At 38.0% G+C, this 25413-nt stretch overlaps 1 protein-coding gene and 1 long non-coding RNA gene across 23 annotated transcripts in view, besides 3 other annotated features; one reads left to right on the plus strand and one right to left on the minus strand.

Annotated features, from left to right (window-relative positions):
• The window catches only part of TTN-AS1 (TTN antisense RNA 1), a 97391-nt gene extending 74088 nt beyond the window's left edge, over positions 1-23303 (plus strand). The window contains exons 13-17 of one of the 2 annotated variants that reach the window (NR_038272.1): positions 682-767; positions 1642-1759; positions 2680-2836; positions 3562-3753; positions 7817-8491. This is a non-coding gene — a long non-coding RNA (TTN antisense RNA 1). Of the gene's footprint in view, positions 1-681; positions 768-1641; positions 1760-2679; positions 2837-3561; positions 3754-7816; positions 8492-11252; positions 11353-17120; positions 17891-18408; positions 18461-22838 lie in introns of those variants that run through there. The other variant, NR_038271.1, reaches the window with a different exon arrangement.
• TTN (titin) overlaps positions 1-25413 on the minus strand; it is a 281435-nt gene that overhangs the window by 70926 nt on the left and 185096 nt on the right. For all 21 annotated transcript variants that reach the window (NM_003319.4, NM_133437.4, NM_133432.3 and 18 more), the window contains 51 exons: positions 24926-25094; positions 24561-24827; positions 24188-24454; positions 23801-24079; positions 23303-23711; positions 23074-23198; positions 22707-22973; positions 21670-21939; positions 21275-21577; positions 20865-21167; positions 20411-20598; positions 20206-20320; positions 19815-20099; positions 19565-19716; positions 18727-18874; positions 18393-18570; positions 17933-18054; positions 17552-17839; positions 17138-17434; positions 16837-17023; positions 16247-16362; positions 15859-16158; positions 15363-15662; positions 15143-15248; positions 14844-15040; positions 14458-14763; positions 14079-14357; positions 13176-13475; positions 12770-13072; positions 12294-12656; positions 11692-11994; positions 11264-11563; positions 10871-11167; positions 10487-10771; positions 10107-10400; positions 8500-8799; positions 8073-8381; positions 7794-7984; positions 6962-7391; positions 5368-5676; positions 5088-5236; positions 4968-5000; positions 4744-4873; positions 4351-4650; positions 3940-4257; positions 2640-2936; positions 2232-2531; positions 1834-2148; positions 1592-1740; positions 994-1144; positions 624-905 (listed from right to left, as the gene is read on the minus strand). In NM_003319.4, coding sequence (NP_003310.4) covers positions 624-905; positions 994-1144; positions 1592-1740; positions 1834-2148; positions 2232-2531; positions 2640-2936; positions 3940-4257; positions 4351-4650; positions 4744-4873; positions 4968-5000; positions 5088-5236; positions 5368-5676; positions 6962-7391; positions 7794-7984; positions 8073-8381; positions 8500-8799; positions 10107-10400; positions 10487-10771; positions 10871-11167; positions 11264-11563; positions 11692-11994; positions 12294-12656; positions 12770-13072; positions 13176-13475; positions 14079-14357; positions 14458-14763; positions 14844-15040; positions 15143-15248; positions 15363-15662; positions 15859-16158; positions 16247-16362; positions 16837-17023; positions 17138-17434; positions 17552-17839; positions 17933-18054; positions 18393-18570; positions 18727-18874; positions 19565-19716; positions 19815-20099; positions 20206-20320; positions 20411-20598; positions 20865-21167; positions 21275-21577; positions 21670-21939; positions 22707-22973; positions 23074-23198; positions 23303-23711; positions 23801-24079; positions 24188-24454; positions 24561-24827; positions 24926-25094 — 12631 coding nt within the window. The remainder of the gene's footprint in view (positions 1-623; positions 906-993; positions 1145-1591; positions 1741-1833; positions 2149-2231; positions 2532-2639; positions 2937-3939; positions 4258-4350; positions 4651-4743; positions 4874-4967; positions 5001-5087; positions 5237-5367; positions 5677-6961; positions 7392-7793; positions 7985-8072; positions 8382-8499; positions 8800-10106; positions 10401-10486; positions 10772-10870; positions 11168-11263; positions 11564-11691; positions 11995-12293; positions 12657-12769; positions 13073-13175; positions 13476-14078; positions 14358-14457; positions 14764-14843; positions 15041-15142; positions 15249-15362; positions 15663-15858; positions 16159-16246; positions 16363-16836; positions 17024-17137; positions 17435-17551; positions 17840-17932; positions 18055-18392; positions 18571-18726; positions 18875-19564; positions 19717-19814; positions 20100-20205; positions 20321-20410; positions 20599-20864; positions 21168-21274; positions 21578-21669; positions 21940-22706; positions 22974-23073; positions 23199-23302; positions 23712-23800; positions 24080-24187; positions 24455-24560; positions 24828-24925; positions 25095-25413) is intronic.
• Positions 10292-11491: an enhancer, noted in NCBI's record as "BRD4-independent group 4 enhancer chr2:179471933-179473132 (GRCh37/hg19 assembly coordinates)". NCBI's record gives its function as "activates an origin of replication core promoter dependent on BRD2, P300/CBP, MED14 and CDK7 cofactors, and independent of BRD4, by STARR-seq in HCT116 cells {active_cell/tissue: HCT116}" and the evidence as "EXISTENCE:reporter gene assay evidence [ECO:0000049][PMID:35650434]".
• Positions 17207-18406: an enhancer, noted in NCBI's record as "BRD4-independent group 4 enhancer chr2:179478848-179480047 (GRCh37/hg19 assembly coordinates)". NCBI's record gives its function as "activates an origin of replication core promoter dependent on BRD2, P300/CBP, MED14 and CDK7 cofactors, and independent of BRD4, by STARR-seq in HCT116 cells {active_cell/tissue: HCT116}" and the evidence as "EXISTENCE:reporter gene assay evidence [ECO:0000049][PMID:35650434]".
• Positions 24136-25335: an enhancer, noted in NCBI's record as "BRD4-independent group 4 enhancer chr2:179485777-179486976 (GRCh37/hg19 assembly coordinates)". NCBI's record gives its function as "activates an origin of replication core promoter dependent on BRD2, P300/CBP, MED14 and CDK7 cofactors, and independent of BRD4, by STARR-seq in HCT116 cells {active_cell/tissue: HCT116}" and the evidence as "EXISTENCE:reporter gene assay evidence [ECO:0000049][PMID:35650434]".

Raw genomic sequence — 25413 nt, forward strand, 5'->3', positions numbered from 1 at the left:
AGAAATGCAATATTGATAACCAACTATGATGCTTCTCTTCAATTAGAATACTGAAACCCTTCAAACAGGTTTTTGCATTATTATGATAATTTAGCGATAGGGGTAGAGTCTCATGATGTGAAATGGTCAGCACTGGCAAATTGTTAAACATTCATGTACAGTTTAAGGAAAGTTGCAGATTGTTAAACATTCATGTACAGTTTAAGGAAAGTTGCTTCTATGAAAACTATATAACAACATAATAGACACTATGGGGGCAAGTTCTATAAAAAAGCCATATTTATTCTGGGCCATGATTCAGAATACATATTCATGGCCTTCTAGCAATTTGAGAATTGTGTACATGCACTCTTTAGGTTCACTGGAAACATGGATGCATGTCTTCTTGTTAGCATCTGTTTTCTCAATTATATAATTTGTAAACTTACACCCACCATACAGAATACACATAGAATAAAAAAGTAAGGAGGAAATTTTTAAAAATTCTAATAATGTTCAACATGATTATGGGTGATTTTTCTTATTTTCCAAAATGTTTGTTACACAGCATACAGCATAGCTTTGTGTAAATATAATAAGAATGTTGGTTTAAAAAGTTGCACAGACAAATTGAAAGTATTTACCTAATACATCAACAATAATTGTCTTCTTTCTTTCTCCGGCTTCATTTTTGGCAAGAAGAGAATAGACGCCTTGATGGCTCCTCTGGCAGTTCTTGATGACCATGGATGAGCTAATGGCTGTGGTCTCAATGGTGGCTTCTTGAGGTAAGGTTCTTTCATTCATGTTCCAGGTGACGGTTGGAGGAGGCTTTCCAGACACATAGGCAATGATTCGGATCACCCCTCCAGCATGGACAACAATTCTATCTCTGACACTGGCATCTAGCTGAAGGTCAGGTGAAACTGGAAGCAATTGAAAATTACAAATGTGATTTTTCCCCTTCAATCTGAAACATAAATACTGATGGCATAAGGAAGGATTGATAATTACCAAGTCTGTCCTTCATTTCAATGACATCTGTGACCTCTCCAGGTTCTCCAATGCCAGCAATGTTGACTGCTCTAACTCTAAATTTGTAGAATGCTCCTTCCTTTAATCCTGTCACAACAAGCTTTGTTCCTCTCACTTCTTTATCTTTACCCTGGGGAGAAATCATAGACATTTTATAATTAGAATAGTTCTTTGTAGCTTCTTGCTTTAATGGCTTCCTAAAGCATCACCAGCAGCCTATTTAACTGTTTACTCTGGGAAAATTGTTGCTGGTTTAGGTTTTAGGGATCAGATATTACAGGCAACACTGAATGGAATAACTTGGCAGGAGTTATGCTTTAAAATTATTGTCAAATGATTAAACCTTGATTTATTTATTCCACATTCCAGGGTTTATAACCAAAAGATTAGTAATAACATGACTTAACTTTTGATTCGATTTCTGACATTAACAGATGTTTGGAATGTGAGTTAAAATTATGCTATTTTCCTGATTTCTTAATCCAAAAAGTATAGACAGAAGTTAATGGGATTGAGAATAACTATGACATTTTTTAGTTTATTCATAGTGCATTTCCTTAGTGCCAAGTTTTCCTACCTTTTCCCATTCTTCTTTTCCTTCTTCTTTATATTCAACGATGTATCCAGTTACTTTGGATCCACCATCTTTTAGTGGGGGAGACCACTCCAGATCTGCAGATGATTTAGTCCAATCTGTCACTTTGGGAAATGGAGGACCAGGAGGGGCTGCAAAGAGCCAGTATACGTTAGTATTCTTGACTTTTCCAAGGCACTTTTGGAAAATAAGATTTAAAAAAAAGGAATGGTTTCCAGGCTTACCAATTGGATCTCTAGCAGTCGCTGGGTCTGATGGCAGACTTGCTGGACCCACGCCAGCAGCATTGATTGCATATACCCGGAATTGATAGTCGGAACCTTCAATAAGACCAGTCACTTTATAAGAAACACCCAAAGTCATGGCTTTGATAGGATCTCGGTTAACTCTCTTCCATCTCTTTGAAGTGGTGTCTTTCATTTCCAGCCAGTACCCTGTCACAGGAGAGCCTCCATCATATTCTGGCTCTTCCCAGTTGACAGTCATGGAGTTACGAGTCACGCTGCTAACTGTTGGTTTATCTGGTGCTCCAGGGACAGCTGTGAAAAAGATCATATTGATTATAAGAAATTTAAAAAAAAAGTAAAAATGGCTTTGTATGTGAAAATGTTCTCCTACTTACAGAAGAGGTTTCTTGCTGTTTCAGGTTCACTGTCAAGAGGTTCTCCAATGCCATATTTATTCTGGGCCATGATTCGGAATACATATTCATGGCCTTCTAGCAATTTGGGAATCGTGTACGTGCACTCCTTAGGTTCACTGGAGACATGGACCCATGTCTTCCTGTTAGCTTCTCTTTTCTCAATTACATAGTTTGTAATCTTAGACCCACCATCATCTTTAGGTGGAAACCAAGATAGTGTCATTTGATCTGCTGAAACAGATTCAAATTTTATGGGTCCCACTGGAGGGCCAGGACGACCTAAAATGGTTTAAAGAAGGAACCCTTTATCACTCAGATGATTTTAAAGCCAAATGTTATTTATGAACAGAAAAACAAGTAATTTTAACCAAACCATGCAGTCTTTACCCAGGACATTCAGTCTCATCTCCTTTGATGCTGTTCCCAGATTATTTACAGCTGTGATGGTATATAAGCCAGTGTCACTCCTGCGAGACTGCGGAATAACTAAAGTGCAAGTATCATCTACCACCAGTTTGTTGACATGGGTGTCATAGAGAACAGGTTCTTTGTTATCAGGCTTCTTTGGAGGAGCTTTAAACCAGGTTAGTGTCGGGAATGGCACACCTTTAATTTTGGCCACAATGTTAACATTGGTTCCTTCTTCAACCTCCATGAATTCTTTTAGATCAATTGATGGTGGGCCTAGATTATTTAAAAAAAGTTGTCATTAGGAGCAAAAAGCATTGAGGGATAGAAAGTAGAATTCACAGTTACTATAAAGTTGTTTGGATCCACTGTAGGCAGACTTTGTAGCTCAGCCCAATATAAAGAATGGTTCTGTCTTTAACACTATTACGCTAGTTTGGGGAGCAGGTACACGGGGTCAGCATCTTTTATTGGATCTACATGTGGCTATGTATCTGTGCTTGCCTCACTTTATTTGGCATCATTATGCATGTAATGATGTGTATTATTATATTCTCATATCCTGACAAAAGGGAAGAGAGGAGATTGTAGTAGGAGAGTATCATGGGATACTCTCTTTAATATTTACACAGAATTATGAAGGGATACACAAGAAGGTGAATTCCCCTTTTAAGAAATATAACTGTTAATAAAAGGAAAGCAATTTTCCATTTTGCACAAATTTAGGACAGAAATATTCAAAGAGGGTAGTGACTACAGTTTCTTCACACTTAGATGAGAGAATAAACAAATACACAACAGTAGTGATGGTAATTATCAGAGGAAGAATTATTACCATATATATATATATATATATATATATATATACTTCATTAAAATGGATATATCTTTTCTCATATAGAGAAATAAAAACTTGATTGTGAAGATAAATGGGTCTCAGCAGTTGCTAAGAAAATGACTGGTTACTTTCTGTCCCTTTTGAGGAGCATGCAGAGAAATTGCTTTAGCCTCTGATAAATAAAACAGACTGCGAGGAAAATTACAGCGAGGAAATTACAGACATCATCTCCTTTGAACAGGGAAAAGGTAACAGGTAAGGGAATGTGAAAATTCTGTGGAAATTGAAGGAATGAGTAATTAAGTAATGTGCCCATGTCTACATTCAAGCCATAGTAGCTTCCTAAGGTACAGATATAGCTCTTTTAATTGTGAACTATTATTGAACACCTAGGAAGGCAGCTGTAAGGAGGACATTCTTTGTCAGTACATTGGTACTTACATGTCTGGTCTTTGACAGTCACAGGGCCAACAGTGGCTGAAGGCTTGCTGACTCCTGCAGCATTGACAGCTTTGACTCGGAATTCATATTCCCCACCCTCTACTAGGTCTTCAACAGTAAATTGCAGTTCTTCCACATCACGCTTATTGCACTGCCTCCAGGCTTCTTTCTTTGTCCCAGTAGGGTCCCATGCAAGGCACTCAACAATATAGTGGGTAACAGGGGAGCCCCCATCATTCTTCGGGGGTTTCCATGACAGATGCACTGTGTTCTTTGTGATGAGGCCAATCTTGAGTTTAATAGGAGGATCAGGAGGATCTGTAAAAATAATTAAAGGAAGTATTAAGCGTTGTTTATAATAATATACTTCAATTTTGAGAAGATATTTTAAATTTAGATTTTAAAGCTTACATATCGGATCTCTGGCAGTGGTCCTCTGAATGGTTTCCACAGGTGGGCCAATACCAAAACGGTTTTCTGCTCGCACACGGAAGAAATATTGCTGTTCAGAGAGGAGATCAGGCACTACAAATGTGGTGCTTCCACAGTCTGGATTGACTTTGGTCCAGGCTTTTCCATCAATAGTCCTCTTCTCAATAACATAGCCTTTGATCCTGTCTCCTCCATCGTCGTCTGGCATCTTCCATGAAAGTCTGCAACTACCCCTTGTGATATCACTGACTTTCAGATCTTTGGGTGGGCCTGGTACATCTGTTGGATGTAAATCACAATATAAGCAACGTTCCTTAAATGCTTAAAAATAATTTGTTTTTATTCTGTAGCAACTTTCAAAGTCTTTCTTACCCATGACTTTAACTCTGCAATTTGCAGTCTTTTGTCCTGCTTTATTCTTGGCTGTGATGCTGTATTTGCCTGTATGAGATCGTTTACACTCCGGAATAATAATTACTGAGGAGTTTTCAGCAGTCTCCAGCTGTACAAAGAAAATAGTAGTCATACATTGAATGAAATCATAGCAATATTGAAGTCAACCATATTCTGAATTATTTTAATTATTATTTTTTTACCTGTGCATCTTCGGGTATGTCATGAACTCCATCCTATTAGAAAAGGAGACAGTCAGTTGTAGTATAAATACTCCTTATAGTGATTCAGTGGAAAAAAGAGGAGAATGGTTATTTTCCTACCTTCATTGCTTTCTTTGCCTTTCCATCAAATTCCCAAGATGATTTTGGTGTTGGGCGTCCCTTGATGACAGCAGGAATCCTAATCTGTGAGCCAGCTTTACAAACCAGACAGTCCTGTGCTCCAATGTCAATGAAAACTTCTGGTTCCTCTGTAATACCACATACAATTTAACAGGATTTAGCTCATATTTGTCAAAAGTAATTGAAATATCTTCAGTAAATTAATCAATTTCATAATAAGATCAAAAGAGGAATACATAAACTGAGTAAGTACTAGTACCTTGAATATCAGTGGCAGGGATCTCCCCAGTTGTATCACTTGGTTCAGATTCACCAGCTTCATTGACAGCTTTCACTCTGAATCTGTACTTCCTGAGCTCTTTCAGATTAGGCACCACACATTCACAGGTAGTTATAAGTTTGTCTGGTTCATTTACTCTTTTCCAGTCAGTAGTACCTTCTTCTTGCATTTCTACAATGTATCCTTTGATTGGGCTGCCACCATCTTTGGCTGGAGGTTTCCATCCTAGTGAGATGCTTGACTTCGTTTTATCTTTAACTTCTGGGCAAGAAGGTGGCCCCGGTGGAACTAATAACAAAAGAAAAAAAAAAGCTTCATCAGATTTTGAAGCTGATGAAGTGCTGGAGTCTTTTACTACACATGATCATATATTATTTTAATCTATTAAAATATTAAAATAGAAATGCTAAAAGGAAATACAGTTGCCTTCTAGAGAAGAGAAATAAAGGAAATGGTCTATTTTCCTTTAGCATTAATGCAAAAACAGAGAAAGCAAACAACTAACTGGGAATAGAAAGACTACTTCCTATCTTGTTAGATTTACATTCTATTTATACATGATTGGTAAAAAACTACTTTACTTTTGAGATCCCTTTGAAGAAATTCTACAATAGCCTTTACTGAAAACATGATTTAAATTTAATTTGCCACAATATGAAAATTTAAAAAGGATTCCATCAATAGCTAGTAAACCTTTGAACACAAACTAATCTTAATGCCCTTTAGGGACAGGATCAGTGTCTACAATAATCCCATAACAATCCTTTACCTTTCTGAAAGTGCTTTACAATTACAGAAATTCTTTTACTGTACTTGTCTTTTTAATCTTAACTTTTCCCCCTCCAGTGGTTAATATAGATCCTTGCACAAAGCACATGTTCAATACTAGTTTGCAAATGAATGAATAACTACCTCATTATATAGGTATATATGCTCCACATAGCACTTGAGTATTTAAAATTTTCTTTTTAACAAATAATTGAATTTTTCTTCTATAGAGAATCTAATCAGATATGTAGCAAATAGGATGAATTATTATGGCCACAGTATTTTTTAATTTTTGAACGAATCTGCTCACAGATCTTTTAGAAGAATTTTTCTCTCTTATTTGACCTCACAGACTATGCCTGAGAATCCTAAATCTTTGTTCAATAATATTATAGAAAAGCTAACAACATTCTGTTTTTTGTTGAATTCCTACTGGAAGGTCTGACTGTTTAGTGGGAGAGATGATTTCCCCAGTATCTAATGAGATAGAAATTTATTTAAAGTATCAGAAGACATAGGAGTTTATAGTCCAGGTCTTTATTATTGTGATTCCTCATAAAATATTTGGTTTAATCCAAGAGTTTACAAACTGTATGATTTTATGTATGTGTGTATGTATATATCTGTGCATGTATGTATACACACATAAATATATACTTCCGATAGTCTATGTGAACATGAACCTTTTTTATTTTAATAAATAAAATAATTTGGCATAGAAAAATATAAGAAATTTAAGGCAGAATTATCCATTTAGTGACTTTGTGCTTTAGAAATTAGTCCCCAGAAACGGAAGCATACTTACATATGGGATCTCCTGCAACCTCTGGATCTGATGGTTCACTGGGAGGACCAATTCCTGCAGCATTTATTGCCATGGCTCTGAACTGGTATTTAACGCCTTCAAGCAAACGAGGAACATTAAATTCCACGCCTTTCAATCCCACTTTGGTTATTGGTGCTCGGCTAACACGTGACCAATAAGGACTTCCCTCTTCTCTTTTCTCCAGCCAGTAGCCAGTAATTGGAGAGCCACCATTGTCCAAAGGAGGAGTCCAGCTCACTAGCATTGATCCTTTGGTGCGTGCCAAAACTTTTGGTTTTCCTGGAGGTCCAGGAAGGCGATAAGGATCTTGAATGACTACTTTATCTGATTTGCACTCATCACTGATTCCATATTTATTCACTGCCCTGACTCGGAACTCATACTGACCATTGGGGATAAGTTTCCAGATCTAGAAATTAGAAAAACAGAAATTTATTGAAGAGAATATACTTATGTTGGTTTTCACTCATTTAAAAATTCAACTTATTTTGGGAGGGATGACTGTAAGAAGAAATAAATATATAGACTCAAAACATGGGAAGACAGAGAAAAGGAGAAAGCTTTTTTTAAAATAAAAATATGTAGATGTATTGTACCTGATAGTGGATCTCAATTAAAAGAGTATCTGTGTATCAAACGCTATGTACTAAGGAGCCTTATGTGTGTGGGGCTAAACACTACAATAACAAAATAACAGCTTATCGTGTGTGGTTTTGAGTTTAATTATCAAATTCCAAGGTTATATTAAAATGGCATCAAACCAGAGTCATGTACTTTTAATGTGTATAAGAAAATATTCAGAAGAGTTTACCCCATATCTTTTCTCTACAGCAGTGTTGGTGACTTCCTCCCATTCTGCTTTCTTCCTACTTGCATCACGTTTGTCAATAACATAATGGGTGATTTCACTGCCACCATTATCAAGAGGGGCATCCCATGTCAAGTAGCAAGATTCAGCTTTAATGTCAGTAACAGCAAGATTTCTTGGTGGGGATGGGCGGTCTGGAAAGGAATCAACAGAGAATATTGAGAAGGCAATTCTTAAACAGACACTGGATGCCTTTTTGATGTAAGAAAGCAAGTCACTTACCATATACTTCAACGTGAACATTTCGGAACACTGAGCCAAGGCGATTGGAAGCAGTAACTGTGTAAGTGCCTTTGTCCTCCCGGACCGCTTTGGGAATGCTAAGCTCAGTTTTTGCCTCACTTCGGGATACCTCTTCCTTGGTTATCTGAAGTGCATCAGTGGGTTTTTCAATTACAGTTTCATTTTTGGACCATTCAATCTTAGGCATTGGAAGGCCTGTCACATCTGCAGGGATGTGGACAGGCTCTCCTGCCTTAACTTTGATAGTGTCTCCTCGAACACTCAGACGCAACTTAATAGTTGGAGGCACTGCAAAGAGAAGAGAAAGAAAAACAGTAACAAAGTCATAAGGATGTTTTTTTCAACTTATGGGATAAAGGCACACTGTAAAATGCATTAAAATTATTATTATATTCAGATTCCGCACCTTCATCATCTTGTATGACTACATTAAGAGGTAGGGATGGTTCACTTTCACCAATTTCATTGACAGCTTTGACACGGAACTCATACATTTGGTGTTCATCAAGATTTTCAACCAGAAAAGATGTGGTTGGGCAGAGTCGCTTGTTAACTCTTTCAAAGTCAGGTTTGTCATGACGCCGTTTTTCAATGATATATCCTTGGATGGGACTGCCACCATTACTGCGGGGCTCTTTCCAGTCAAGTGTGATAGTGGACTTTGTCCTTTCAGTGTATGTGAGCCTCTCTGGAGATGTTGGAGGACCTTTAGCCAGAGGCAAGTGAAAATGATTAGCATGAGATAAATATTCATGTAAGAAATAATATTTCACTTCAACTTAATTATGTAAAAAATAGCCTTCTGTTTGGCATAACCTTACATCCTTATTTAAAATCATTCCTAAAACTTGTCAGTTGCCAAAATTATAGACATTCATGTAGACAGAATTTTTCTTAGCAAACTTTTCATCAAGATTATCAGTGAAAAATAAATCAAGGGCACGTATGCTTTTTTAATTTAACATTTTAGATTGTTTACCTTTGTAACTGGGGATGCTTCTAATTCTACTGAACTAGGAAAGTAAGTCTGTGAAGCTTTGCTTTGAATGACCAGCTGAGAGCAAAGTGTTTTTTCTTTTATTAACAGATAGTGGATATGTCTATGAACATACTTTGAGTCATGTTGCCTCACATGTGGGTTCAAAATATGGTGGAAAGAGGATGTATGTAATGCTGCTGAAGTTTTCTTTCCTGAAGGACCAAACTAAGAGTTAAGCTTTCAGTGGTAAAACTAGACCCAATCCATACTTGTTGACTGTTATTGCAACCAGAAGGAGTGGAAGCTCAGCTCTGTTCTGGTGCCTCTGGCACAGCCTGTGGTATATTGGACGTTCATAGATGAGCTGCAGCAGTGATATAGGATGTATTTTTTTTTTTCAGGGGGTGATGGTGAAGGAATAAGTTCTTCTGTCTCTTGAGGAATGGGTCTTCCTCAAAGCCTTTGCTTTCTTAGATGGGATGTCAGTGTGCATTACTGTGTGTGCAATTTTAGTGTTTCGTATTGATTTCTGGGAGATTCCCTCTGGTTGGTTTTCTATTCTTTGGAGGCTGTTTCTGGTTTTGGGCCTCTCTATCCTTCCAGTATGGGGACTTTTTGAATATAGAGGAAGACTAAGGCATTTATTCTCAGGAATTGTCTAATCTTTTAGAAGAACATTGAATTCTCTTTAACTACTACGCTAGTAAGTTTTAAAAACCCGACTTCCAATGTGTTCTACTGGAGAGATATAATATGTCTAAACTACTTCTAGGTTATTATTAAGCCCCTGTAGATCCAAGTTTTTCAGTACAAGAAACCATGCATGATTAATATACTTACAGCCACAAATTACATTGAAATTATAGGAAATATGATATCTTTAATGTTGCTAATAGTTTTTTGATTTACTTTTCTTATTACTCTTTAGCTATAGATTTTGAGACTGTTGGGAGTTTGAAGCCATAAAGCTCAGTAAATAATATAACTAGAAGCAAAACATTACTCTATAAACACAATGAAACCTTCTCTTTTACCTAGTGGATCAACTGCAAGAATTGGTCCTATTTCAACAGGAGGGCCACAGCCAAACTTGTTCTTGGCAATAACACGGAACTTATATTCTTGTCCCTCAAGCAGACCTGTGATGTCACATTTAGATCTCTCAGTCTCTATTGGTTGTCTCCAAGTATGCATCTTGGCATCTTTTCTTTCAATGATAAAGCCTGTTATTTCACTTCCTCCATCATCTTCTGGATCAGACCAGTTAAGTAGACACATTTTTCTGTTTGTTACAACAGGTTTTAAGTCAAGAACTGGACCAGGGACATCTGAAAACAAAACAAAGCCAAAAATCAATGTAATAAGATAGTATCACTTGGGAAAATCCTGTGAAAATCAGTGCAACATTCCTTACCAAAAACTTCTACCCTGGCTGCTGCAAATTTGGAACCACAGCTATTTGTAGCTGTAATCACATATCTGCCATGGTCTTTTCGCAGTGCATCCTTGATAATTAGTTCAGATTTGGTTCCAACGTTGTCTATTACAACACGGTCTTTATCCAGCTCCCCTTCTTCTTTGGTCCATACTTTTGTAGGTACAGGGCGACCAGTCACCACAGCTGGAATTCTAAGAGTCTTCCCAGCCATTATTTGTATTCCACCCTTGACAGAAACATCCAGTTCCACAGCTGGAGGCTCTGTTGAAAGAGAACAGTCATGCATTAGCCCATGAAAGATTAAAAAATAGTCCCATATAGAGAAAATATCCATAATTTTATTCCAATAACGTTAAGTACCTTGTGGTTCAGCCACAGTAACAGGTTGTGTTTCTCCAGGCGGTCCTTCCCCTGCGGCATTGACAGCACTCACCCGAAGTTTGTAATCAGCACCCTCTCGGATTTCTTTGACGGTGTACTGACGGACCTTGATCATCTTCTCTGTGCAGCGTGACCATTCATTTGTGCCAACCAACTGCTTATCAACAAAATAGCCAACAATTTCCCCACCACCATTGAAAGCTGGGGGTTCCCATTCTAGTTCAATAGTTGTAGAGCTTGTGTCAGTGACTCTTGGGATAGGTGGCCCAGGAGGAGCTAGAATGAATGAAGATAGACAAATCAAACTCCCTGATGGTTTTAAAATGTACAATAGCTTGTTCTACTCCACCTTCTTCTTAAGGAACTACTTACAGATTGGATCATGTGCTGTTTTGGGATCTGAAGGTGGACTGAACTTTCCAGGTCCAGCTGCATTTTCAGCACATACTCTGAAGACATAGGTGAGTCCTTCTAATAAGCCATCTACATTGGCTTTCAAGGCATTCAGAAGGCTTTTGTTGACACGAGACCAATGTGTACTGTTAACTTCACGTTTTTCAAGCCAGTAACCCAAAATGGGGCTTCCATTATCTTTTGGTTCATTCCATTTCACTAGCATACTGTTGCTGGTAACATCTTCCACAATGGGCTTATCTGGTGCATCAGGTGGTCCTGATAAAAAAATAACATTTGAAGTAAATTTCCCAGTATGACATAAAAATGCAATTTTAAAAGCTGTAGTAATTATATACCAAAGTACATGGTAAAAAGGCAAACTTTAGATGCCAAAGGAAACTTACCAAATGGATCTTTAGCCACAAGTGGCTTTGAAACACATGGTGGACCTGGCCCAAATCTGTTTTCAGCTCTTACACGGAAGAGGTACTCTTTTCCTTCAATCAGTTTTGTTACTGAATATTTGCAATGTCTAAGTGTTGAAGTGACAACAATCCATTCTGAGTCGGGTTTTGTCTTGTCTTTCTTTTCCAAAGTGTAGTTTATGATTTCACTGCCACCATCATCAAGGGGTGGTTCCCATTTACAAAGGACTGAGGTCTTTCTGATATCTTCAAATACAAAGTTGATTGGTGGTCCCGGTGTATCTAATATTTCAGAAGAGAACAGTAATCAAAAATTTGTGTGGGAAGGGTTGCTATGGAAAATATAAATGTGAGCATGCTCCTCTGACATGATTTGTGGTTTTCCCACATCTATCTTTGTATTCCATTAGCTAATAAATAACAAGATCAGGTGATTTCTTTTACATGGCCAGCAGATAAAATATGATTGAGGATAACTTGCTGAAGCTATGTCCCATTTCTTTTAACTCTCTCCCAAACTTTTTATTTTTATGTTTTACTAAAACCTTTTTCCATTGGAAAGTGTAGTTTTAATGACTCACCTAACACACTGACAGTACAAGGAGCTTTTGCAATACCGTGGTCATTTTCAACTTTGATCATATACAGACCATGGTCAGGTCGGAGAGAATCTCGGACGCGTAGCTGAGATTCTCCCTTTTTGCTGTTGTCAATACTCAAACGCTGTGTCAGAGGCAGGACAAATGGTTCTTCTTCTTGAACTTCACCCTTCCTTCTCCTAACCAAGGGTGCTGCACGCTTCTTAATTTCCTCTGGTACAATAACATTTTCATCCTTTATCCATGTAATAGTTGGGTAAGGTGATCCAGAAATACTTGCATCAAGTGCTATTTCATCACCTCGTTTCACTTCTAGGCTTGTTCTCAGAATGACTTTGGGGGCATCTATAGTGATCATAACCAATAAATGTTTTCAATTCTGATGAAAATAACTGACAAAACATTATTTTCATTTATTTCAAAATGGGAAAGTGGCAACTCCATGAAACAAAACTTACCAATGGGATCTACAGCTTTGGTTGGAGGAGTAGCCCGAGAAGGTTCACTAATACCCGCGGCGTTCTCTGCTCGCACACGGAATTGGTACTCTTTCCCCTCTTCAAGTCCTTTTGCTGTATAGGTCAGGATTGGTACCAGGTGTTCATTGCATCTCTTCCACCTTTCTTCACCCTTAGCAATCTTCTCTATGATGTAGCCCATTATCTTGCTCCCTCCATCATACAAAGGTGGCTTCCATGTAATAGTCATTGCCTCCGCTGTAGGATTATGAACCTCTACATCTACAGGTGGATCAGGGGGTTCTGAAGAACAAGAAAAAAATGTTAGTATCAGGAAAACCACCTTCTTAAAACAAAACTATGGTTTATTAGTTCTTAGCCATAGTGCATCCATGTCCAAACTTACGCTTTGGATCTTGAGCAATGACTGGATTTTTCAGTTCAATATATTCTCCTCCACCAACCTTGTTGACTGCTTTAACACGGAAGAAGTATTCACCATTTGGTATGAGATCCTTCACAGTCCATGACAGTTTGTTCTCACCAGACATGACTGGTATATATGTTCTCCTCCCAGCTTCTCTGCGCTCCAGGACATAATGAAGAATTGGGGTTCCACCATCAAATTCTGGAGGTTCCCAAGTTAACTTACAAGAACTCTTGGTAATGTCACTTGCTTTAATATCTTTGCATGGTCCAGGTAGGCCTATTACAAAAATGGATAATTATTCTAGTAATCCTGAAAAATCAGCATTTTAATAATGCACTTGTCTCTAAGTGGGGCTATCTGTATTTTGGGTAGGATAATCTTTGATGTGCTGGAGTGTCATTCACACTGCAGAGCATTTAGCATCCTTGGCTCCCAACTACTAAATGTCAGTGGTATCTACCTCAAGTCTGTGTGCCAAGCAAAAATGGCCCCACAAATTTCCAGACATTATTTGCAGGGCTGGGGGGAATGCAGAAAATGTTACTATCCCTGGTTAAGAACACTATGGGAAAATGTGAAGCTGTGCAATTAAAAAATTGTGGTCATTTCAATGCTCTTTGGGTATGCTAATATCTGTTATTTAAATTAGTATTTCACATGCAATTAACTAAAACTAGTATAAATTAGTCTAATAAGCGTTTAGCGATTTCATCTCTTTAGAATTGTTTTACTTCTCCTATGGAAAGACATAATCAGAAGTGACATTTAGTTTACAAGTGGCCAGTTCATGAAGCCAATTATATTATTAATAGCACTGCAAAGTTAACTAATTTCCTCTACATGTGAAGAATGTCTGGTTTTTCTTCAAAGAATGATTACCTATGACTTTGACATTGATTGAGGCTGTTGCTGAGCCGAGCTTATTCTCCAGTGTAATGGTATAAATTCCGGCATCTGCACGGACACTCTTGGGAACTTCAAGGTGTGCAGAGATGTGATCATTCTTCATTGTTAATCTATCACTTGCTTTAACTTCTTTGCCATCTTTATGCCAACTAACAGTTGGAACTGGGACAGCTCTGAAGGGAACAGGAATGCTTAACTTTTCACCTTCAATAACAATAATGTCATGAGTCTCCAGGTCAATTGTTGGCTTGCCTGTAAGATATCATTCAAAAGAGCAAAAAACAGAGTATGTCAAAATGCAATGCATGAATAAAGGGTATTTTATTAACTATAAAAGACCTTGTGCTCTTACAGTCTGGGTCTTTGGCAACCACATTTTCAGAGATTTCAGATGGCTCGCTGACACCAATAGCATTGACTGCTCTCACTCTCAGGACATATTCTTTGTCAGGAACAACACCTTCTTCAACCTTGAATTTCAAGTCCTTTATTGGGCGAGAATTAACTCTCATCCATTTCTCAGTGCCTACTGGACACATTTCAACATGGTATCCTATGATAGGACTTCCACCATTTTTCTCTGGAGGCTTCCAAGCAATGGCAATGTGTTTTCTCCCAGCATCAGTCACATGTAGGTCAAGGGGTGGTGAGGGAGGACCTGAGAAAAGAGTGAAATATTCATATCCACAGTCTCATCAAGTTCTAGACAATATCTTGTGTATAATCAGCACTACTTACTTGTTGGATCTTCAATGGATAGGATTTCTGTGGGTTCACTTGGGTGGCCAACTCCAGCTTCATTTTCAGCCCGAACCTGAAACTGGACCTCTGTTCCTTCGATGACATCAGTTACTCTGAAGTTACAGTCAGGTCCTGCAGTCTTTCCAGCTTTCACCCAACGGGTACCTAACCTTTCTTTCTTCTCAATGACATATCTATTGAAACAACAAAGCATTTCATTAGCATTAATGAAAAAACACAGTTAAGAATTTGCAGCCAAGTGTAAGTTATTCTTTATGAATTAATTCAAATTCTACCTCTGTATTGGTCTTCCACCATCATTTTTAGGTGGCTCCCACTTTAGGTCAACATGTCGTTTTGTCACATCAACCACTGCCAGGGCGTAGGGTGGTCCAGGAGTGGCTGAAAATAAAATAAACAATGATTAGGAAAACCAGAGGAAAGGTGATAATCTCCTGTCACAAAAATTAAGTGCGAGAGCACTTATTGTCACAAAGATTAAGTGCAAGAGCATACTAAAGGTGTCTTTGGCCAGCACAGAGTCCTCAATTTCGGTGTAGTCGCTTTGTCCTATAGCATTTTCTGCAGCAACTCGGAACACATATAAAGAGCCCTCAGTCAGTGGGGTGACTGTGCACTTGGTGTCCTTGACAGTGGTATCCACTGTTTGCCAGCCTTTTCGCCTGACGTCTCTCTTTTCCACAATGTAGTTGGTGATGGGGGACCCTCCATCTTTCTCAGGAACTGTCCATTTTAGGTCTGCTGTATTTTTTGTGATATTAATAACTTCAAGCCAGCGTGGTGGTGATGGAGGATCTGAAAAAGAAGGAAGGAAAACAAATTCATTTTTTTTTTTATTACCCAATAGTCAGTCTGAAAGTGCAGGCAGTCATTAAGAAGTAATGTAGCCAGGAGGAAATAATAGTAATGAATTTTTCATATTTTCTCATATCGTAGCTCACAGGCAGATATTAGAAGAATTTATATATCCCAGACATCAAGAGTGACTTACATAGCTTCTCCCGGCAAAGCACAGGGTCACTGGGTTCACTGGGTTCACTTTCCCCAGCCTTATTCACAGCTCTAACTCGGAATGAGTATTCCTGTCCTTCCATGAGCCCTGGGAGCAAGTGCTGAGTGGTGGGAACCCCTTCCGCCACTCTGACCCACTCATCTGTTCCAGTCTTCAGCATTTCAATGACATAAGACTCAATCTTTGCACCTCCATCATGTTCTGGTTTTGTCCAATTCAACCTTACTGATGTTTTGCCTACATCTTTTACAGTTGGTTTTCCAGGGGGCCATGGAGGATCTGCAAGCCAATGAAATCATTGTTTAGGTTTGTCAAAAAGGAGTTCATATGAACTTCGAAATAACCACAAAAATTATATAAATAATACCTATGGGATCCTTTATTAAGATTGGTTCAGTTGATTTGCTTGGTTTTCCAGGTCCAGCAAGATTTTCAGCCAACACACGGAATCTGTATTTTTTCTTATTAGTGAGACCTTTCACTCTGAATTAGGAACAAAGTGCATGTGTATCATCATGGTAAGAAGCAGAAGAAGCCTATGTTTATTTTACACAGAAGAGACTAATTTATTTAAATTGTGAAAAGGTGATTTGGAAATTTAACTGAAAAGCACTTCAATATAAATTAAAAATTGCTTTTTAACTGCCACACACTTTAGACTGGGCCAAACATACCAATCTAATTATAATATCTATGACAGTGGTCATTATCATAATATACTGGGGGATCAAACACTTTGAAACTTCCTGAAGGTTAATATTTTAGAGTAAACTAAGAAATGTGCCCTTGAATGGAATTTATATAATTTTTCAAATTATGAGGTAATAGAAAATATGAGTAAAAGTAGTTTAAAATTTTTTTAGTAATATATAATCATCTGTAATCCCAAGGAATACTAAAGAGTAAACATTTGAATATACTGCTGTCTTAACATCTTGATGGGGATTCTGAGCATACCTGTATGTTGTGTCCTTTACTGGCATCTTATTGCATCTAACCCATTTATCTGTATCAGGATCCAGTCTTTCAACCCAGTATCCTGTGATTGGGCTGCCACCATCATCATCTGGCTCACACCATGTGAGAGTCACTGCGTCTTTAGTGATATCAGAAGGTTCTAGGCGAGTTGGAGGACCAGGTGGATCTATAGACAGGATAATGGTGTAAAATGTTATATGTCCTGTATATAAATATGACACCAAAATGCAAGTTTGACATAAGCATCCTTTTTTTTTTATCAGCTGATTGAGAAACTTACCAAACTGATATTTGGCTGTTATTGGAGAGGCCTGAACTGGTTCACCAACACCATACATGTTTTCTGCAGCAACTCTGAAGATGTACTCTTTATTGGGGATTAATTTGGTGGCCTTGAAGTTTGTATCCTTGACGGTGGATGAGAGCTTGTGCCACACTTCACTATCAGTTGCTCGTCTCTCCACAACATAGTTTGTGATCTTAGATCCACCATCATCGCGTGGTGGGTTCCATGTTAGAAGACATGACTCATTGGTTACATCTGTGATGTCAAAGGCAGCTGGTGGTCCGGGTTTATCTGTGTATGGCATTACAGATGCAGAAAAAAAAATTGTTCACCATTTTTTTTATTTTTTTCTTTCAAGAAAGTAACTGCAAAGAGTTTATCCCCTTTTAAAATGAGAACCTTCCTTACCTAAGACGTTCACTTCCACCACAGCAGTGGCCCGGCCACACACATTCACAGCCTCAATGATATATGTGCCAGTGTCACTTCTCTTACTATCAACAATAGTCACTGTGGATTTCTTAGGGACATTTTCAATGGTAATTCTTTTGTCCTGCTTCAGAATCATATCAGCCTTTGTCCAAGTTATTTTAGGTTCAGGTTTTCCGGTTACGGTGGCAGGAAGTTCAATCTTGGTCCCAGCTTTTACAGTGAGACCAGCAAGGAGCTTCACATCGAGGAAGATTTCTGGGGCCTCTGAATTGGAAAAGATTATTTATGATGTTATCAAGTTCAAGCAGATTTAAGGTCAGAGGCCTATTTGATAAGACAAAAATCAAAAATAGATACCTTGTGTGTCCACAGCCTGGATTTCCTCTGTGGGTCTGCTTGGTTTGCTAGCACCCTGCCTGTTTAAGGCCTTCACGCGGTAGGCATACCATTTGCCTTCCTCAAGACCTGTCACTTCCATTCTGTCAGAAAACAGAATAGGATGTTTTACTGTGATGTCGATAATCGTTTCATTGTGTAGTACTCATAATCTTTCAAAAATTCAAACCCCTGGTATAATACTAGTCTTTAAATTAAACCTGGATTACTTCAACACTATAACTGAATACATTTTCATTTCAATACTGTCATGAAAACCCTGAGCAGGCAGTACATTCAGCAGCACCTTTAAAAATCAGACAGATACACCGGCAGCATAGGATTCTCAATGAAAAAAGACAAACATTTAAATTTTCCCCAACAAAGCCCATTTTAGTGACTAGGAGTACACATTTACTCTCATGCCAAATTAAAAACCTACTTTGTTTCTGCAACAGGTTCTCCACAGGCAACCCATTTATCAGAACCACGTGGACATCTTTCAACTATATATCCTTTGATGCGTGAACCACCATCATTTTTAGGTGGATCCCATGTTAAGAAGATGCTATTGGCTGTTCGATCTCTCCATTTAACATTCTCTGGTGGGTCAGGTACCGCTACAACATTTGGAAGAGAGAGTCAGTCTTACACAGGCCACCTATGCAGTTCTCTTCACATTGCCAACCCCTGCCTTGCCCCATAACTTCAACTCTAGGTCTAAAAGCAAAAACAGGCAACAAGATTAGGTAAGAAATCATCAAGAATGTACTCACTTGCAGGAGTTGACATATTTACAGGTTCATCAACATATGCAGGTTCTCCAGGGCCACATTTGTTACGAGCACAAACTTTAAATAAGTACTCTTTTCCTTGAACAAGATCAGGAACTGTGAATTCTAGATCAGTCACAAAGTCCATAACCTGGGACAAAGAAATACAGTTAATCAGTTATTTCCAAAAAACCCTTTCGCCAACCCAAAAGATTTTTACCATGACCAGGGATACAAACTGCAGTTGTTTTGAATGCTAGGGATTATTCTTACATTAATTTCATATTAGGGAAAATTGCAAAGTAGGATACATGATAATATTTGACTCAATATAAGAAAAACTGCTTCATAGTTTGTACACATGAAAAAAGATGGCAAATGAGGTGTTGATTCTACCAGTTTGCTTATCAGAAATATGATTTTAATTCAGGGTAAAGAATAGTAACTAATATAAACACAAGGAAATAATGGCTGATTAGGTCAACTAAGGTATTCTAGTGGAATAAGAAGTGTGACCACCAGGGAAATAAATATTTACTTTCCACTTCTAGCTTAATGGGTACATATTGGGTACTTAGCAGGTACCAAGTCAGTAGGGAATTTTTTTTTTTATTACAAATTTGGTAAGGCTCACAAGACAAGACAATTACAATTATACAATCCTTGGTTGAGCTACCTCAGGAAGCATTAGCACCGATGCATTCTTAAAAAGTTTTTGTACATTTTCAGTGAGGTAAAGGTAAGAAGTTGTAGCACATAAGACTTTTGTATGGCATCCCAACCTTCTGGGATTTCCCCTACTCTCATTTTTGGCATTGATGCAGTGCTGCTCAAAACTCACTTTAGTCCATGTTTTCCGGCTGACTTCTCGTTTTTCAACAACGTATCCAGTTAACGGACTTCCTCCATCATCATCAGGTGGTTCCCAAGTCAAATGTACTGAGTCCTTGGTTATATCACCAAATTTCAATTCTTTGGGTGCACTTGGGCGAGCTGAAAAAAAATGCACTCACGAGTCACTGTTAATAGTCTGAACTAATATTTGTTAATACTGCCAAATCACCTTAGATGATAAATGTTTTGTTCCTTACCAATTACATTGACATCAATTTCCCCAGAAATTGTTTTCACACGGTTTTCTAATTTCAGTGTATAAATGCCCTTGTCTGAACGTTCACTTGGAGAAATGACAAGTTCGGCATAGGCAGACAAGGTCTTCATTTTCACCCGGTCCCCTGTTTCTAGTACTTTATCTCCAAAACACCAGGTTGCAGTTGGCCTTGGATAGCCTGTACTTGGAACCAGGATCGTGATAGGATTTGGGACAATAACTTCCAGACCATCTTTAAATGCACTTAAATCCATTGTTGGTTCAACTACAAAGAAGAAAAGTTAATGAGTTTGCAGTGCCATATTTAAGTCCCTGTTGCCCCAAAGTAGCTATGTGCTATTCCCCGATCTAAAAATAAAATATCTATTTACCAAATGCATCGTCAGCGGTGAGAGGACCAAGAATTTCAGATGGATCTGAAACACCAGCTTTATTTTCTGCAGATACTCTATATAAATATTTATTTCCTTTTTCCAATCCGGTAACCTACGATTATGAATTAATATTTGTAAAAAACACATACAGTTATGTCCATGATCCACATTGAATATTCTTTTTTATATGCAAATGACCTACCTTGTAAGTCAGTTCAGGGACAAGTTTCATATTGCAACGAATCCAATTATCTTTTCCTTCTTCGCATCGCTCAATTATATAGCCTAATATTGGGCTTCCTCCATCTTTCAGAGGAGGTTCCCATTTGAGCTGAACTGATGACTGAGTCTGATCTGAGGAAGTTAGGTTTACAGGAGGACTTGGTCTCTCTGGAATAAAAGAAGGAGTTGGAGCATACCATTTACGTTAGTGACAATTTATGAAAACAGTGTTGTAATCAATTATATCATCCTCATTAACAGGTTTATCAAATTCACTAAGTAAAGTAGGCACAGTCTGGGTTTCTAAAACTTTATCCAAATTTTTATGATATTCTACCTTTTTATTAACTTTCATTTAACTTGATTTATTTTAATTGATAGGCCTAATATCTGGATTTCATGCAGTAATTATTTCCCTTTTTTGATGGGCTTACCAATTGGATCAGCAACTTTGACGAAGGGTGTGGCTGCACTTGGTTTTCCAACTCCAATTCGATTTTGGGCTCTCACTCGGAAACTGTACTCCTGTCCTTCTACCACATCAGTAACAGTTGCAGACAGGTCTTCAGCTCTCACAGTCATGGCAGTATCCCACCTGATAGAAGTCTTGTCTCTTAATTCAATGACGTAGTTTGTGATCTCAGCACCTCCATCATACTCTGGTGGTTCCCATGTCAGTGAGACACCAAATCGATTCACATCAGTGATGGTTACATTCAAAGGAGGGCCTGGAACATCTGGATTTCACCACAGAAGAAGAAAATATGAGTTTGGGGTAACGATGATGAAGGCAAAGACTGCAATTTACTTAAAAGCTAACTTGAATTTACTTAAAACTTCTTACCATATTTACTCCTTGCTTCTACAGGATTGTCAGTTTCTACTGGCTCACCAGTGCCAACTCTGTTTCTTGCACTCACACGGAATAGGTACTCAACTCCTCCTTTCTGTAGACCAGTGACAGTAAACTCACAACTCTCTGCACGGTCTGTGGCCAGAACCCAGGTCTTTCTCTTAATGTCACGTCTTTCAACAACGTAACCTATGATTTTGCTTCCACCATCAGTTAAAGGTTCTTCCCAAGCAAGGCTCACTTCACCATCAAATGTTTCTGTCACTTCTAAGTTACGTACTGGCCCAGGAACATCTGAAATTCACATATAGAGGAATTTTTTTAGTGTGCTGTCTTGCTTTTAAATTGTGCTTTGCCAATTAAGTCTGAGAGACCCAAGGGCTTACCAATAACTTTTAAATTGATGAATCCTTCTGCTTTTCCATGTTTGTTCTGAAGCACAATTTTATACCTCCCTTTGTCTCCTTTCTTGGCTTCTAAAATTCTGAAAGAAGTTTGTTCAGCCGTAGTATCAATGGTTTTTGTAGATAAAGGTTCATTTTCTTTAAACCATTCAGCTTCTGCTTTGGGGTAGGCATCATATGGCACCACCATTGTCAGAGGCTTGCCAACATCAACCACAAGGTCTTGGTCAGCTGTCTTGATTTTTGGTGCAGCTAGTGAGAAAGATAACATGTGAACGCTTTCGACTATTAAACGTAGCCAAGCTACATCATGTTATTATGCATTTATTAGAAAATATTGGTTACATAACCTTGGAAGTAAGCTACAGTAACTTTATAGCAGAGAAAACTAAGTGGCTTAGAGTTCTCATAGCTTTTTGTTGTTGTTGTGCGTGCAAATTAGATTGGAGAGTAGAGGATTGAGAATGGCATAAAATCATAAGACATGCATTCCTTGCCAAAAATAGTAACATAGGACTCAGTGTAGTGCAAAACATGTTTTGTTTTGTTTTTTGATAGAGTAGGCACTGCATACTTAGTTCAATAAATCAGAGAAACTTTTTTCTTATGAATGAGAGGTACACTAATGGCTTTTTCATAAGGACAGTGTATAAGGATGTCCTGGGTCAGGATGAGAACATACCTAAAAGGCACACAGGGGTTTGTAAAGTAGGAGAGTATAAGACCGTCTTTAGATTTGCCAAGACTCTCAGGGTGATAGCTTAGTTGTAGCCTAAGTTCATAAATAGTCATCATGTACTAGCAACTGTCCAAGGCTCTGGCATGTAAAGATTATTGCTATTAATTTCCTCTTACTCAAGACACTTACTTTGTAGTGAGCAAAATTAGAGTTGTTAACATGTGGGTAGGGCTTGCTAGAAATGAAAGACCCTCACAAGGATTACCTCATTAAATAACTGTGAAATCTGAAATCTAAACTCTGTGATATTGGAAGGATATTTTAAAATAAAGGGACTGACCTGCCAGTTCAAGCTTAGCTCTGGCTTCTTTGTCTTTGGCAATAAATCTGTATTCACCCTGGTCACGGGGCTTAATATCACAAATCTGTAGTCGATGTATCTTTCCTTCACTCATCATCTGGTGTTTATCACCCTGGACAACAACCATGTTATTTCTTAGCCATTGGACTTCCACCTTATCTTTATTGAGTTCTGCTAAAAAGACAACATCAGCACCAGGGGCTTCAAGAATATCTTGTGGAGGCCTGATGATCTCAACAGGAATTTCTGGAAAGAAAATGTGAAATAAATACAAATATGTTTACATTTTGATTAACAATTTTAAAAAATTGGTAACATTAGAATTGTTTTTTCACTTAATATGTACCTTCCACAAAAAGTCTAGCACGAGACTTCCTGTCTTCTACCCCGCAAGCATATTCACACTCATCATCCAGCCTGCAATCTTTTATAATGAGTCTGTGTATACTTCCATCTTTTTCAAATTTGTATCTAAAGGAGACATTGGATTATCAGTTAGCTTGCAATGATGGCCACTAAATTGTCAAAAGTGTATATATAGCTACAGAAATAGAGAATAAAAAGATCTTGCTTACTTTTTGCCTTCTTTGATTTCTCTCCCATTTCTGTACCATTTTACATTGGCTTTCTCTCTGGAGAGCTGGCAGGAGAAGACAGCGTCATCGAACTCAGTGACTGTCTGATCTTCCAAGTGTTCCACAAATTCTGTCGGGGCTTCTATGATGAGAAGCTCAGCAACAGATTTATCTTGTCCAGCAGTGACAATGTATTCACCTTCATCTGGGAAGCCACAGTCTTTAATGGTTAACATGTGCTTGTACTTATCAACTCTGTATGAGACACGGTTGTCAAAAGGCACTTCTTCACCATTTTTGGTCCACTTCAGTGTTACATTGAGACGATTCACCTTGCACCAGAATGTGACAGATTTCTTCTCCATTGTTTCAATATCTTTAAGAGGCTCAACAATCCTAAGGTCTTCCTCTGTTGTAAAGGAGAAAAATATGTTGATTTTAATTATTTTTATAACAGAAACTGATGAAAAAATCTCTAGTGGTATATAAATTACTTACCTTCTACTATTAGATTGGCTGCACTTTTAACATTTTCACCTCTGTGATTGGTCAAAGACACATTATAGTTGGCTTGGTCATCTAAGTGTGCATCTCTAATTCTGAGGGTGTAGACTAGGTCTTTTTGGAGAATGATGTATTTTGAACTATCAAATATAGCTTCTTCATTTCTGAACCATTTGGCTTTGGCACCTTCAGTATTGACTTCACAGTTGAAGACAACTTCCTGTTGTTCCTTCACCCGGGTGTCCTTAAGAGGAACTACGATCCTGAGTTTTTCTGAAAGCAACCGACAAGACTTTATAGTATGAATAATGATCAAAGTGGTAAATACAAATACAAAACAAACAAACAAACAAAAAACCCTAAAAGCAAGAACAAACTTACCAATGACTGTCAAGTGAGCTGCTGCTCTGGCGGCCCCTACCATGACAACGTAAGTGCCCATATCTTGTAATGTGGCATCTTTCACAACTAGGACCCTCTTTTTACCATCAGCAATAACGTCATATTTATCTCCAGATTCAAGTGTCTTATCATCCCTCTTCCACTGGACTGGAAAGCTTTCTTTTGATATAGAGCAGACAAATTCAGCCTTTTCTCCTTCAAGTATTTCAAGGTTTTGAGGCTTTGAGATAAATTCAGCAGCCAGTTCTGGGAAGAAAAAGTTACAAGATATTAGAAACATATGTCTTTGTACTTTAAATCTAGCAAGTGTGAATTGTTAGAAATAAAAGATTATTCACTGTAGTTTTCATACCATGTACTTTGACTTTGCCATCGGTTCGAGAGCTTGGGAGTCGACAGTTGTAGTTGCCAGCATCCTCAAGGTGAGCGTTCTGAATGACCAGGATTCTCTTCCGTCCTTCAGTCAGTATTTCATATCTTCCTGTTTCAATGATCTCCTCATCCCCTTTATACCAAATCACTTCTGCGCCAGGTTTGGAGACTTCACAAACCAGTTTTATAGTGTCTGTTTCACTAACTTCAATGTTGGCAAGATTTTTGGTAAAGACAGCTTCTTCTTCTGCAAGCATTGAAAAAACAAAAACCACATTGAGTTAAGCTGGAAATTATTATTTTTTCCCAACACATATACTTCACAAAGAATGACTTTACTCTTACCCAGAACTGTCAGCATGCCAGAAGTTCTCGCTGTCCTTACTTCACAGGAATATTCAGCTTCATCATCCAGTAGACATTTGTTGATGACAAGAATGCGCACTGCTCCCTTGGATATGATGTCATATTTTTTGCCCTTTTTAATTTCAGCACCATCTTTAAACCACTTAACCTATATTTAAGATAAATAGATTATCAGTTTTCTTGTTGTTCCTTCACACAGGTGTCCTTAAGAAAAACTATGATCCTGAGTTTTTCTGAAAGCAACCAACAAGACTTCATAGTGTGAAGAAGAACCAAGGTGGCAGACACAAATATAAACAAACCCCAAAAGCAAGAACAATCTTACCAATTACTGTTAAGTTAGCTGCTGTGATACTATTATCAGTTATTAAAAACAATGGGATCATATAAGTTTAGAGCTATAGTGAGCCTTAGACATTATGCAGACTAACTTCTTGGATGTGTAAACTAAGGCTCAGACTTGAAGA

This window comes from Homo sapiens, chromosome 2, assembly GCF_000001405.40.
Source record: "Homo sapiens chromosome 2, GRCh38.p14 Primary Assembly".
NCBI lineage: Eukaryota > Metazoa > Chordata > Mammalia > Primates > Hominidae > Homo > Homo sapiens.